Genomic DNA, 16,243 nt, shown 5'->3' on the forward strand with positions numbered 1-16,243 from the left:
TAAATGAGCATTTGGCATGGCACTTTTGGATGATTTTTTTTTTCATTTAAACAAAAAGCTTCTTGAGGGCAGGGGCTGTATCTTTTATCTCTATTATTATCCAATCCTAAGACAAAATTGTTGTGTATAAAGCAAGAATTTGAATGTAAAATATTTCTTTAGTTTCACATGTTTTACCAAAGTTCAAGCTCCAACATGCAATAAATATTGCTATTAATACTCACACTGCCCATTTCAAGAATTTTTTCCAACATTTATTCATTTAAAATCTATTTGTATTTAATTTTTCCAGATTGTTAACTAGATAGATAATCAGTTCATAGGATTACTGAAACTAAGAGATTTCCTATATGTATTCTTAATAACTCCATGGTTTTGAGTGTTTAAACCTGCCATCCTGATTAAGCCAAAGCTCTACAAACTTAAGAGACATACTGGATAGCCCACAATATAGCTTCAATTGACAAAAAAGGTTTAGAATTTGCTACAATTCTGAGAAAACTCTGCTCTTAAAAACGACTTACTGACCTAAGCACTTGAATGATTGAACAAAGGGACACAAAGTCCTGAGAGAGCCATCCTCTACTTATTGGAAGACTACTCACTGCAAATTTCTAAAGACCTTCTGAATGGCAGTGAATAACTGATGGTAGAAAGGAAAAGGTATTATTCTGTAAGCTGATAGATAGTGCCAATAATATTTATTTTAATGTCCCAACGACAGAGATAAGTCAGACTAGGCCAGGAATGGTGGCTCACACCTGTAATCTTAGCATTTTGGGAGCCTGAGGTGGGTGATTCACTTGAGCCCAGGAGTTCAAGATCAGCCTGAGAAACATGGCAAAAACCTCATCTCTACTAAAAAAAAAAAAAATACAAAAACAGATTGGAGGACCACCAGAGCTTAGGGACGTCAAGGCTGTGGTGATCTGTGACCGCACCACTGCACTCCAGCCTGGGGAACAGAGTGAGACCCCATCTCAAAAACAAACAAACAAAAATTTAGATTAATGTTATTGGAAAGGAAAGATTTAAAGGAATTAGCACATATCCAACTCCAACTCTTCTAGAAATATCTGAAGTTTCTGAGATATAAGAATTTACATATTACACTTATGTATTCAGTGGTTAAGCAGGAGTGTATCCGGATTTTGAGAAATTTGTTGTTGTTGTTGTTAGAGACAGGGTCTCATTATGTTGACCAGGCTAGACTAGAACTCCTAAGCTCAGGCAATCCTCCCACCTCAGCCTCCCTAGCAGCTGGGACTACAGCCATGCACCACCATGCCTGGCTTCAAGGAAACATTTTTAAACATACATATCCAGGCTTTATTAGACTTACTCTATCAAAATCTTCAGGGGAAAACCTAGACTTGAAGATTATTTAAAAATTTTCCTGAAGTAACTGGAATGCACAACTCTAGCTGGAAGCTAGTGCAATAGACAATTATTTCAGTCTCATCTCTCATCACATAAACAATTCCCTTTATCGTTTGAGGATTTGGCCAAAAAGAGGAAAGAGTAGGAGAGAGACTCATTTGCTGAAAACACCACAAAATTTTCCCCGGTAAGAGTAGAACAAGGTCTAGTAAACTCAAAATCCAACCTGATCTTTTTACTTATAAGCCCCTTATCTCCCACCTTCCCATCAAGACATTCTAGAATTGAAAGCAGAGTTGAGACTCTAATTGGCCATTTCTACCAGAATAGGATACTAAGTTGGTTAATTACTTGTTATTCCTTCTACTCAAGGGTTTCCCACTACATTACCACATATTCACTGCCAGTCTGGTTCCTCAGAGGCCTCCTAAAATTGATCTCTAGGCAGTTTACAACCCACTAACTCCCTCTCCCAAACTGAAAACTGTCATTCTCTAAAATGGAAAAGAACCCTGTCTCACCATATAAAGGAAACAAATGAATGAACAACAATAACAACACACACACACACACACACACACACACACACACACACACAAACAAAAACAAAAACAAAAACAAAAAAAAACCTCTTCATGGTCTTTTCCCCCATTACCTAATTTCCAAGTTGGCCTTGGTATTTCTGATTGCTGCATTTTTCCCTTTCCAATTCTGCCTCATGAGCAATCAGAAATATCTTAAGCCTTGCCACTGAGAGATACATCACCTCATATCTATTAGTGTTTTTTTAGGAATTTGCCAAAGTAGCAGGATTACTATTCACTGAAACATGTTTAAGTTTTCTTGGAGTTTTAATGTAAAACCTATTTCCAGGGCAAATTTTGTCATTTTACATTTGTTAGGGAAAAAAAAACTTGGCAGGGAAAAATTGAAAAAAAAAAAAGTATTACCTTTTACAAATTCAGTGTTTTTTTTTTTAAAAAGCATTAACCACAAGTGCACTGAAAAAAACTGTACCCTCTAATGCTTCTTTAAAAGTAACAATATTTAAAATAAAGTCTTAGATAATTAAGTCATTTCAAAATATTTTCATTCAGGTTATGCTTGAGCTTCCAAATACGGAAAACTGGCCCTTACACAGGTCAATGTTAACACGAATGCATTTCAGTATTTTGAAGATAAAATTGGTAGATCTATACCTTGTTTTTTGATTCAATATCAGCACCATATAAGAGCAGTGCTTTGGCCATTAATTTATCTTCATTGTAGATAGCATAGTGTAGAGCGGTATTTCCATACTCATCTTGAATATTTCCATCAGCGCCATGTTCCAGCAACATTAACACACATTCATCTTCCTGGCATTGTACGGCCTGTCAGTATTAGACCAAAAACAAATTATAAGTCCTAGGAATTCAAAATAACATTCCACAGCTTTCACCAACTAGTTATATTTAAATGAGAAAACTCATTTTTATGCTATCTATTGAAATCAAACCCATCTCACGCTGATATAGTTGACTACTGCATACCTTTATCAGAGCTGTCCTTTTTTTGTTGTCAAGGACGTTAAGTTGACATCGTCTGTCCAGCAGGAGTTGTACTACTTCTGAATTTCCATTGGCAGAGGCCAAATGTAGAGCAGTCCTATGAGAGTGAGAAGACTTCAGGAAATTGTAGTGCACTAGCTAATGCCACATTAATGATTCATGTAGTTGCAAACACTGAATAGCCTATTACTCTGCCTTCAAAACAAACTCAATTTTCCTTTGAAGAAAGCACACTACTTATTACCTCTCATTAGTCACTGTATTAATGAAAGAGCAGCCTATTTGAATAGAAAGAGCATAGCTCTTGGATGACATTCAACTTGGGCTGGAATCCTACTTGAAGCTCTGTCGCTTCCTAGCTGTTGCTTAGCCTTTTTGTGTCTCAATTTCCTCATCAATAAAATGGGAATGAAAATAGTCAGTTTCTCAGAGGAAACCACTGTAATGCTTAAATAAGACTCTACACAAAATATAGAATAGTTCCTAACACAAATAACAGCTCAAAAATTGTAAGATATTATAATTTTTACTAATACCACTAAAGACAACATTTGAATTAAGTGAAACGATACAATTATACCTACACTTTCAGGTACATTTTAAAGATTACAGGTAGCGTTGTACTGTATTTTATTGAGTCTAAGATGATCATTGTCTCCATGTTTTAACATTTCTTACACTGAAATACCACTTATTAATTCATGATTTACTATAATTATAATTGGCAGCATTTAAATAATTTTCTTAGTGAGACATAAAATAATGGGGCATCATACAATCCCTGGTGCCTTACATTAAGTAGAATATGTTATAATATAACAGGTCTGGGGCAGTTCCAGTCAGATGACTAGCATTTAGATAAATTTTAGTTCTTAAAAGAACTATGGAATAAGAGGGCTGAGGTGAAAACAAAAACAATTTTCTAAAATAATCTATTTCTTACTTTGGTTTTCAAAAACTTTAAGCCAAAGAAATCTTGAAATTCAAATGAATAGCATGGGCTCATTTTTTTCAATACTTAGATTTATACAACGTATGTACATCAGATATTTCCAATCATTCATATTAGGATTTAAGACTGTTATAAATTTTCTCTTTTTAAAATGGATTTATGAAACTATTTGTGGAGCTTTTTTCAACTTTTACATTCGGGGATACAGGTGCAGGATGTGCAGGTTGGTTAACATAGGTAAACGTGTTCCAAGAGGGTTGGCTGTACAGATTATTTCATTACTCAGGTGTTAAGCCTAGTACCCATTAGTTCTATTTCCTGCTTCTTTCCTTCCTCCCACCCTCCACCCTCTGATAGGCCCCAGTGTGTGTTGCTTCCCTCTAGGTGTCTGTGTGTTCTCCTCATTTAGCTCCCACCTATAAGTGAGACCATGCAGTATTTGGTTTTCTCTTCCTATGTTAGTTTGCTAAGGATAATGGCCTTCAACACCATCCATGTCCCTGCAAAGGACAGGCTCTTGTTCTTTCTTTTGTGGCTACATAGTATTCCATGCTGTTTATGTACCACATTTAAGTTCTTAAAACAGCTAAAACAGTGTTTACCCAAGTCTTATACATTTTCAAAAGGGCAGTTAAGGGTTATCTTTTACTATTTTCCACCTTCAGAAGTGCTTTTGTTTGAAAGGAGGGAGGAAAAGCTTCAATTGAGATTAAGTCCTAATGCCCCAATTTTGATTCTCTCAGCTTGCTCAGGCGCAGCAGGTAAACATGAAGTTTTCAAAGGTGGAAGGATCCTGAGAGATAGCAGAATATGCCTGCCATATAATAGGTGTCTGGCTTATGTTTGATGACTAAACGGATTGAAAGAATGGATAAACATAGGTTGGAAGTTCAATATTTTTAAAAGAAAACTCCTGTTGAGTAGAGCAATACATTTGCGATAGTAACGATCATTTATATTTGCTATTTTAGTTTTCATAAATATATAACTAAACTAAAATAATTAATCCATACTATTTACACATCAATCTATATATAATAAGATGTATACACAATAAAATCTACCAGAAGAGGTAAACAGAAGCCCTCTACTTCTGAAGAGGGTAAAAGTTCACAGAAGATAGCCATCCACAGGTATAAAAATAAATAATAGAATGTAAGAAATTATTTGTATCTATGCAAGTAGCATATTCCTTCTCTTCCCAAGGATTATTTCATTACTAATGAAACTTAACTAAAACTTTGCAGATGTTCATTGCAGAAATCACAGATAAGAGAAAGGGAAAAACTTCACTTACAAATCCCCAGAAATAAGTTTGATTATATTTTCCACATATTTCCAGCTAACACAAGAGCAGATTCTATTTGTGTATATGTATAACAAACTGATTTTTTCTCACTTGATACAGCAAAGTACATCTCTGCATGCCGACATATCTCTGTATCTACTGACACCCTCAATGGTTACATATTATTCCATCCTATGGATGCACTGAAATTTGTTCATAAAATCTTTATATGAGTTCTTCTCAATACATGGCTATTTTAAGCAATACTAAGAAAAACAGCTGTGTCTGTTTCATATAGATATTTCGGTATAATGGAACAGATGGGTAAAAGGCATACACATTTTAAAAATGTGGTTCTTACCATCAAAGTGTCTATTTGAAAAGTCGCAGCAACTTAAACTTTCAGCAGGTATATAAGTACCACTGTTCTTCACCCTCACAAACTTTGTGGACACAAAACAGTATTTCATTCCTTTATATTTATTTATTTATTTTTATTTATTTATTTTTTTGAGATGGAGTCTCACTCCATCACCCAGGCTGGAGTGTAGTGGTGCAATCTCAGCTCACTGCAACCTCCGTCTCCCTGGTTCAAGCAATTCTCCTGCCTCAGCCTCCTGAGTAGCTAGGATTACAGGTGCATGCCACCATGCCCAGCTAATTCTTTGTATTTTTAGTAGAAACGGGTTTCACCATGCTGGCCAGGCTAGTATCAAACTCCTGACCTCGTGATCCACCTGCCTTGGCCTCCCAAAGTGCTGGGATTACAGGCATGAGCCACCATGGCTGGCCTTTCATTCCTCTTCTAACTTAAACAGAAAATAGTCTTTCATTCCTCTTCTAACTTAAATTCCTTCTCTTAGCAGGAATGCTATGTTTTCCTATGTACACAGGTCACTGGTAGACATGCAAAAAAGTACCTTGCCCAATTTTAAATTGAGCTTATTTTATTATATCTGCATATATATGCCGGTTTCAGTGGCTCATGACTGTAATCTCAGCACTTTGGGAGGCTGAGGTGGGTGGATCACAAGGACAGGAGTTCAAGACCAGCCTGGCAAAGATGGTGAAATCCCGTCTTGATTAAGAACACAAAAAATTAGCCAGGCATGGTGGTGGGTGCCTGTAATCCCAGCTACTTGGTAGGCTGAGGCAAAGAATTACTTGAACCAGGAACCAGAGGTTGTAGTGAGCTGATATTGCACCACTGCACTCCAGCCTGGGCTATGGAGTGAGAGTCTGTCTCAGAAAAATAAATAAATATTTGCACATATAAATAGGCATTTGTGTTTTCTTCTGGTACTTTTCTCCTTTTGTATCTTTAAAATTTTTAATCTATACTCCAGGAACTTATTTTTGTGACATAAAAATCTAGGTAGTTTTCTCCAAACAGCATGCATTTAATTTATGAATAATTCACCTTGTTTTACCAATATGAAACATCACCATTATCAAGTGCTAAATTCTTACATATATGTGGGTATTTCTGGATTTCCTATTCTGTTCTGTTCACTTATGTCTTTTCAGCTGTTAGTAAACAATTTGTGGAAATAACACACGCACATTTTGATATCTGGAAAAGCAAGTCTTTTTCCATTCTGTTACAAAAAATCAATTTATCACAATGATAAAATACATCATGTGCAATTTAAAGACACTAAGACTTTGCTATTTTTATTTGGCTTATGTAAAAGTGATAAACACAGAAAAAGCTCACATCTTAAGAAAAACGAACCTTCCTATTCAAAGATATGAACCATACTTCCCATTTCAGTTTCCTTTTAAGGTTACTCAGTAAAGAACGTGTTTACATAGGGTACACATCGATATAAAATCCATATTGGATTTTATTTGAAAAATATTTAGCCCAGAAGTTGATATATTATGGGACTTAGTTCTCAATATACACCTTTCTATAGTGTATAGAACATTGTTTTAAAATGTGTACATTAAAAATAATCTGCTGCATCGACTTAATTTTGCGAGTTAAATCACTTTAAAACCGTCTATTAGTGTTCTATAAGGGAAATTATAATTGGATTGGAAATCAGCTAAAGTTTTGTTTTTGTGTTGCTGTTTATAAAGGGACCTGGGCCCTGACATCTCTGAGGTTTCCACACCCAGGGTGGTGTGGGGCCTGCGGAGGAAGAGAAAGCCTGGCTCCTCCCTCCCTGCGCCAGGAGGGTATGTCCCCATCATCACCCCATGTCCCGCCTCCTCCCATCCCAGGCCCGGTTACCTCTTTTGCTTGTCCCTCTTGTTCATGTCAGTGTCCCTGAGCATGACGATGAGATCCTTTCTGGGGACTTTACCCCACCAGGCAGCTCTGTGGAGCTTGTCCAGATCTTCTCGACGGACGTGGTACCTCGGCTCCATGAAGGCGCTGTCGTCGTAGTCTCCCCAAGTGCCCACGTTGCTCTTGCCGCTCCCCCTGCAGCAGGGGAAGCAGTGACAGCACCACTTGCCCATCTTGCTCCTGAGTGTCTTCATAAAGGAGTCGTCATGGTCTCCAGAAGTGCCCACATTGCTCGTGCCGCTCCCCCTGCAGCAGGGGAAGCGGTGGTGGCACCACTTGCCCATCTTGCTCCTGAGATCAAATGGCTTCTTCACAGCAGAGGCAGCGGGCATTGAACAAACCTCAGCCACCATCTGCTTTTAACAGCCAGGGGAGGCCGGTAGTAGCGAACAGATCGCGTCTACCAACCAGTTTCACCAACTAGCAGGAAACCCTGGGTTTCCAATCTGTTTGAAGAGAAAGGTCAATCCCAGCCAAAACTTGCCAACCCCAGCAAGGGAGCCCAGCCCACCCCACCCAGGGAAAACCCACACCCACCCGGGGAAAGCCCACGCCCACCAGGGGGACCCCACGCCCACCCCAGGAAAGGCCAAGCCCCCCCTCCCAAGGAAACACCCAGCCCAGTCAAGGGAATGCCAAACCCAGCAGAGAAAAGGTCAAGTCCAGCAAAGGAATGCGAGGGAGGAAACGCCAATCCAAGCAAGAAACACCAGGCAAAGCTACTAACAGCCAAGCCAAGCTAGGAACGCAAGGCCAAGCGAGGAACGCGAAGCGAAGCGTACCCGTTACAGGTAAGCCAAGCCGTTATGCGCGTGCGGGGGCGCGCGTGCGGGGCGCGCGCCTCAGACGTTATGCGGCGTGTGCGTGAGGCGTGCGCGTGTCATTGCACGTGGTCCAGGAAGTGGCCGATGTGTGCAATCCGCGTGCGCAAGTCTTGGCGCCACAAATGTCAGTGACAGCCTTGCGTTACTGGCAAAGTTCATGGGAGTTGGCCCAGCTTTCTGGCCACTGAGGAGAGAAGCCTGTGGTGGGAAAAAGCCTCTTGAAGCAGGACTGGGGCTAGAGCGCCTGGAACTCGAGGATGCTGACAGCCTCCTCTGAAGAAAGCCCCCAAGACACTAGTGGTGGCGCTGTTGCGGGTGGCCGCCGCTGCAGCTTAGAGCTCTGGTTGGCGGAGCTGGATGCAAATGGCCTCAAAATCTCCGAGCACAAGACGCCCACGGAGCCCAGGGCCTGCCTGAGGCGCCTTCCACACCTGCTCCTCCTTGGTCCGCACCCAGAACACAGGGCCATCAGCAACGGGGCACTCGGGGCCACAGAATCGGGGCTGGGCTGCTAGCTCCTGCTGTGGTGCCCCCTGCCTGGTGTCCAAACCAGGGCCAACAGCTGTGGGGCTTCTGGCCCGGGGTGCTTCGCTTCACTGGCATGCAGTAGGGTTGAGGTGCAGGCCGCTGTCTCCAGGCCTGCAAGAGGGGGCTGGGAGGAGCACCTACCACTGATGGGGAGATGCAGGAAGGCACCCCCACGTGCAGATCCTGGGAACAGGACACTGCCAGCACCAGGGAGCCAGATCGGAGCCTCCCTGGCAGCCTGTGAGCTGGACCCAGGCAGTGGCACCTCTACCCTCCTGCTGGGACCCTCCTGCTGTGCAGGCTTATGCAGCCAGGCTCCAGGCTGCTTCACCCATACTGCAGGTGCTTTGGTGTGGGAGGAAAAATGCATTCTGGCCGGGCACTGTGGCTCACGCGTGTAATCCCAGCACTTTGGGAGGCTGAGGCGGGTGGATCATAAGGTCAGGAGATAAAGACCATCCTGGCTAACACGGTGAAACCTCATCTCTACTAAAAATACAAAATACTAGCGGGCATGGTCGTGGGCGCCTGTAGTCCCAGCTACTCGGGAGGCAGGAGAATGGCGTGAACCTGGGAGGCGGAGCTTGCAGTGAGCCCGAGATCGCACCACTGCACTCCAGCCTGGGCGACAGAGCGAGACTCCGTCTCAAAAAAAAAAAAAAAAAAAAAAAAAAAAAGAAAGAGAGAGAGAGAGAGACAGAGACAAAGACAGAGACGGAGACAGAGAGACAGACGGAGAGAGAGAAAAATGGATTCTAAGCCTGGGACACCGACCTGCTCCTGCCAACAAAAGCAGAGGGGAAGCCAATTGCAAGTGCAAAAAAAAAGTTTTTATTTCAGTGGGATGAATGTCTAGGTGTGCAGTCACTGGAGTAAACGTCACTGGGACATGCTGTGTAATTCTTTGTGTACATTGCTGAGTTCTACTGCTAATGTTAGCCCATTTCATTCATGAAATTGGTAATTTATGACATCCCTTTTTTCTTTATCATTATTAGTTAAGGTTTGTCAATTTTATAGATATTTTCAAAGAACCAGCTTTATTTCTTTGCTTTTCTTTGTTGTTTTCTTTTGGCTGTTTCATTTATTTCTGCTCTTATCCTTATTATATTCTTTCTTATATTTGTTTTGATTTTATTTTGCTACTATTTTCTACTTTCTTGATGTGATAGCTTGAATTTTTATTTGAGAGATTTCTACTTTTCTATTATATATATTTAGTGAAATACATTTTCCTCTCAGCACTGACGTCAACTGTGTTAAATCAAGTTTGATATGTTGTATTTTTATTTTTATTCAGTTTAATATATTTAATTGTTTCCCTTGAGACGTTCTCCTTAGAAGTGTGCTTGCTGTTTAGCACTATTCACAATAGCAAAGACATGGAATCAACCTAAATGCCCATTGGTAATAGACTGGATGAAGAAAATGCAGTACCCATACAACATGGAATACTATGCAGCCATAAAAATGAAGGAGATCATGTTCATTGCAGGGACATGGATGGAACAGGAAGCCATTATCCTCAGGAAACTAATGCAGAAACAGAAAGCCAAACATCTAATGTTCTCACTTATAAGTAGGAGCTGAACAATGAGAACACATGGACACAGGGAATTAAGCAACACACACTGGGGCCTGTGGATGGGGGAGGGAGAGGGAGAGCATTGGGAAAAATCTCTAATGCATGCTGGGCTTAAACCGAGGTGATGGGTTGATAGGTAGGGAAAACCACCATGGCACAAATTTACCTATGTAACAAACCTGCACATCCTTCACACCTACCCCAGAACTTAAAATAAATAAAAATGTAAAAAAAAGAACTAAAAAAGTATGCTGTTTATTTTTCAAGTATTTAAGATTCTGCTGTTATTTTACTTTTTTATTTTTAATTTGATGCCATTTTGGCTGGAGGATACATTCTACAGGATTTCAGTTTTTAAAAAATTCTTAATGTTTGTTAAAATCCAGGATACAGTCCATTTTGGTTTATGTTCTGTGGGTACCTAAATGTTCTGCTGTATTCTGCTGCTAGGGGTTGGAGCCTGTTTTTTTCTTCTTTTTTTTATCTCCAGGTACAATTTGCCCTATGAGACACCTGATATAGTAAGTAGCCCATCAGGTATCCAGCAGTAAAAACTAAATTAGTGGAAGGAAGTCCTGTCCCAACTGGTTTGACATATTGTGGCTGAATTTTTAGGTTTTAGTGAAAATAATAATGATGGCTTGATCTTCAAAGTTGTTTTTTTTTTTTTTTTTTTACCATTTCCCAAATAGCTGGGGATTATTGTGGTGTAACCACTTAAAACTCTGATGAAATGTGGAAAGAATTTCTTTTTCTAATTGATACTTTGTGAGTGCAACTACTTTGCATTGTGCAGAGAGAAAAAAATATATTCCAGGCATTCGCCAAATCAAAAGTGCATGAACAAGTCCCTAAATTTCTTCCTGTCCTCAGATTTCCACCATAAAGTTTCAGACCAAATAAAAAATTGTTTTTTCACTAATTTTCTTTGAGGAAATGTAAGAGAAAAAAAAGAAAGAAACAAGTGTTTTGAAGGGTAGAATTTTGGCAATTATATGAGATTGTAAAATCCGAATGTGGATTAGCTTCAACTCATCAAAGATTCAAGAACAGCTACAGTTCTAAGAATGAGCCAAAAAAAAATGGGTATGCATTGAGGGGAGGGAATTAGGAAGGGAATTTATAGCCATTCAGACATTTCCCAACATTAAGCCTTCATGAATTTTGCATTGGAAAGAAATATTTATAAATTAAGAAACTCAGTATCCAGTCCACCCTGTGATAAATACTGCAATGTGCCCAAGCATTCCAATTTGAGTATGGCTTTGTGCTTTGCCAATCATAACAATGGAAGATAGAAGTAATAAGAGCCTGCATGAAGCACTGTGCTAATGATAATTTTCCCAGTAAGAACAAAAGAGAGGCCATTACTTTTAAACATCATTGAATATAATCAAACACTGGGTAGGCTTGTCTGTATTTAGATTTTATAACTCTACGGTTATAGCTATAAAGTAAAAAAGACATATTATAAAATTTCTGTCATTAAGAAAAGTATTTATTATTACAAATGTGAATTTCTCTAGACGGTAAATTCTTTGGAATTAGTTGACTTCATGTAAGTTGATTTGTTCAGTAACACAGAGTAGACTTCTTGTAAATAGGAACAAGTGTGCATCTGATCAAGATCCACTATTTTCTTATATGTATATCCCTTTTCTGCCTTCCCTCAGAATACTATCTTTCACAAAACAACACACATCTCTTCCACCAACTTCTCCCCAGAATATTGCATATTCGATCAGTGTCCACAAATGTTAGATACAGAATGTTAAATTACTATTAGGTTTGCGCAAATGTAGTTGTGATTAATGGCAAAAATCGCAATTATTTTTGCACCAACCTAATAGTAACATTGAAACACAATATTAGTTATTCAACATCAGAAAGATCTTCCAGAACAGTCATCACCACAGATGGGCCAAACTATTATTTGTAGGGCACTGCAGTAAGTTAGAATTTTATCAAATTCATAAATTAATGGATATTTTGTTAAGGGATATGAACAGCCTGTAGTATAAATTTGAGCTATACATTGTTGGGAGAACAAAATAATAAAACGATATAATAGTAGCAATCAAGTGGTGACCTTTCTGTCACACTTACAATTTTCAATGCACTTGTCTACTTATTATTTCATGTGTGGATGGGTTAGCTGAGTGGCGGGGCCATCAGATGTCATATATACAGATGACTCCCTTCTATACACCATTCTGCCATTAGTTGATGTATATTTTACTTTTGCTTTTCCCTTCCCATTTCACTACTAGATAAAAATCCTAATCTTGAGTTCTAAATCACACCTAGTTTTACTCATGTGTAGTTGTACCTGACAAAGAATTACACTACATAAATTCCATCCATTAGAGGTGTGGCCGAATGGACAGAAAACCATTAACATTGATTACTTCAGTGCATGTGGGATTGCAAATGCAGATGAGAAGGAGAAGATTTTTATTTTTTCTTTATATAAGTTTACCTTATGTATTCTAATGCAAGGCTCAAGTATCATTTATAGTGAAACATTAAAATGTTCTTAAAATTCATGTCCTTAATGTTCTGTAAAGGAAGCATAAACTCATTTATTGCAACAAATGCAACAATTTATTTCATTCCTCAGATTATTGATCCTGATATAAATAAAACTGTTCAGAACTTGCACAGAGATATTTAAACGAACAAAGAAACAAAAAATCTAGGGAAGAAGTGAAGAAAAGAATGCTTTTTAAATTACTTAATCATTGTTGATGGACTGACAACATCCAACTTACATCTCCTGAATTAAACCTGATATTTTCTTGGAGAGTAGTGAGGAGTAGTTGAGGGTAGATAGGAAAGAGAGTGTATTTTGAGAAATGTAAAATTTAGAGAAGCTTAATTTAAACACTCCCTGTGTGTCAAAGAGCTATTAAATAAAATTTTCATGATTTTAATATAAGTGAATCTGAACTAGCATATGGTCTAAGTTTCTTTTAAGTTGCACATGGATTTAAAATATAGGGGAAAAAGATCACTTGGCAAATATGTTTTTGGTTTTGAAAAACTTCCAAATGTTTAAAAAGTACTTTTCAAATCAACCATACCCATATGCATCCAGGTTTTCTCATCCTCACCAGTGAAGGATAAAAAGAAATAGAATTAAGGCAAAATGGATGGAGAGGTGATACATATGCTGTAAAACTATGTCAGAAATATCAGTTGATTCTTTAGGGAATTGGTTAAAAAAATAAATTTAGTCCTTATGGCAATTTAACCCAAAGAATCTAACACTTATTCTTAGTGGCTTAGGATCATGGATGATATTAATCTGTCACAAGATGATTCTATGACTATTTCCAGAAGTGGAAAAGTGCAGAAATAGAAAATGCATATGATATTGCTATTTTATTTTGTTCCAAGTCTTGTCACTATTGGTGGAAAACAGTTTTCCAAAGGAATGAACATTTAGATAAATTATGGAATGAAGAATCATTTTCAATCCTTTATGCATAGATGCATTGATAATAACTGAACATCTTTGGCATCTGGCTTCCAGATACAGTGACGATTCCTTCAAGACATCTAGAAATTAAATAGATGTGCGTGAACACTTTAAAAAATGTAAATACATTAAATGTCAGTTATTTTGAAATAAGTTACTTTTTTAAACAGGAAGCATTTTTAATTAAAAATTAGAAAATAGCTATATTTGGACAATTAGTTACTCAATGTTTTTTCCAAATAACAGATGAAATATACTTTGATGTTTTTTGTTTTAAATAAATGCAAATATATGGATACAAAACAAATCAAACATTGCTACAAATGAAATATATGTGCTGTCAGTAATTCTCAAACATTGAATAATATTCAGTGAACTTCAACACATACCTTTGGTGGCCCGTTAAAATTCATTATAATGAATTTTGAATTAGATTCCAAAATGAACACACTATTTTCTTAGCTTTTAGCGTCTGTCGTTTTTTTCTATATTCATTTTTCTTTTTTTTTTTGACTGAGGTGGCGTCTCACTCTGTCACCCAGGCTGGAGTGCAGTAGCACAATCTCGGCTTACTGCAAGCACCGCCTCCCAGGTTCAAGAGATTCTCTTACCTGAGCTTCTCAAGTAGCTGGTTACAGGTGCGTGCCACCACGCCCAGCTAATTTTTGTATTGTTGGTAGAGATGAGGTTTCACCATGTTGGCCAGGCTGGTCTCGAACTCCCGACCTCAGGCGATCCACCCACCTTGGCCTCCCAGAGTGCTGGGATTACAGGCGTGAGCCACTGCACCTGGCTGGTTTTTTTTTTCTATTTTCATTACTAAGACTAAACAATAGTTATGTGACTGAATACAGCTGATCATTTTACCAACTCCTTTCAGCAAATTCATTTTGTCATTTTAATTAAGTTCAAATTTAAGAAGTGAATAAATATAGATACTATAGCACATATATTTCCCAAAACATAATATAATATGTGTGTGTGTGTGTGTGTGTGTGTGTGTGTGTGCATTTGGGAAATAAAAGAGTATTATATTTTACTCAAACAACATCAAACATGCAGTCAAGTAAGTTTGATGAAGAAGATAATATTTTAGCCTAAGAATGAGAATTCTGTAAGACAATGTGTTACTTTATAGTATCAGTTATGTGACCCTTCCACACTGATATTTTGGGTGCAATTGCACCCTCTTTGCCATATACTCTTGGGAGAATAGAAGGTTCTTCACATTTTTCCATTCATTGTAACTTCTCCTGTAGGACAGCCCACAGATACATTTCCTAGACTATATTAAGGAAACAAAAGCAAACAAATATGAGAAAATAATAAAGGTAAGTGTCTGGGAGGGTGAGAAATCAAATTCAGTGGGGTTTAAACTATATCTCATACAAGTGTCCCAAAGTTGTGCTTTTGGAGAAATTCACCTTGGATAGAGACATGGTCAAGTGACCATGTCTCTTTACCTTTACCTTTTTTAAAAAACAATACATAGCTGTATCCTTGGAAGAGAGGCAAGGAGTGCTGTAGGGTGACTATCTTTGATTTCTGTTGTGGTTCAGAGGAAGTGTAACTTTCTTAAAAGATACCTTGACTTTTGTCACATTTAGCTATTCGTTCCTTTTTATTTAGGAAAAAAAGGCTGAGCCTGCTGTGGCTTGGGCTCTTATTATCTTTTCTTGGGCTTCTTGGATCTCATAAATGATAACTCTACTTTTATTGTTGCCTTCTCCAAAGGAACCTGAATACCAGCATCACCTTCATTTACCCTAAAGCATGATTCTCTGCCTAAGAAAACCCCTATGGTTGACATTTACATTTACTTTATACCTCTCTTAATCTTTTGAGGAATGCCTCTCTACCTATTCTGCATGGTAAAGTTCTAATTAATTACAACTATGAAACAGATATTTCCTTCTTTTCTTATGTTTCAGATATTGAATTACTTTATTATTGCCAAGCACAATCTGCTTTGCTAAATTATTCAGTATAAGCTTGCTTCTTCCATTAGACTTTGGAATTCCTGAGATAAGAAATTACGCTTTATTCTGAAAGTGTGCTTAAATCAATGGAAAGTTGGTTTGTCCAAACTGGATATAGAGGAATAGAGTTATTCTGTACACAGCCACTTTTAGTTGCAAGAGCAGCTAGAAATAGGAGTTATGCTACCTTTTCAAAGACATGTCCTCAGCCAGGTGCAGTGGCTAGTGCCTGTAATCCCAGCAATTTGGGAGGCTGAGGCGGGTGGATCATGAGGTCAGGAGATCGAGACCGTCCTGGCTAACACGGTGAAACCCAACTCTACTAAAAATAAAAATAAAAATAAAAATAAAAATAAAATAAAATAAAATAAAATAAAATA

General features: G+C 38.3%; 1 protein-coding gene across 5 annotated transcripts in view; it reads right to left on the bottom strand.

Annotated features, from left to right (window-relative positions):
* The window catches only part of POTEB (POTE ankyrin domain family member B), a 31,407-nt gene extending 23,099 nt beyond the window's left edge, over positions 1-8,308 (bottom strand). For 4 of the 5 annotated variants that reach the window (NM_001277304.2, XM_017021858.2, XM_047432072.1 and 1 more), the window contains exons 1-3: positions 7,410-8,308; positions 2,913-3,027; positions 2,580-2,753 (exon numbers count right to left, since the gene is read on the bottom strand). In NM_001277304.2, coding sequence (NP_001264233.1) covers positions 2,580-2,753; positions 2,913-3,027; positions 7,410-7,819 — 699 coding nt within the window. In that variant the 5' untranslated portion in view covers positions 7,820-8,308. The remainder of the gene's footprint in view (positions 1-2,579; positions 2,754-2,912; positions 3,028-7,409) is intronic. The other variant, NR_102391.1, reaches the window with a different exon arrangement.
* Between the last annotated feature and the right edge of the window lie 7,935 nt (positions 8,309-16,243).

Source organism: Homo sapiens, chromosome 15 (genome assembly GCF_000001405.40).
Source record: "Homo sapiens chromosome 15, GRCh38.p14 Primary Assembly".
In the NCBI taxonomy this organism is placed as follows: Eukaryota; Metazoa; Chordata; class Mammalia; order Primates; family Hominidae; genus Homo; species Homo sapiens.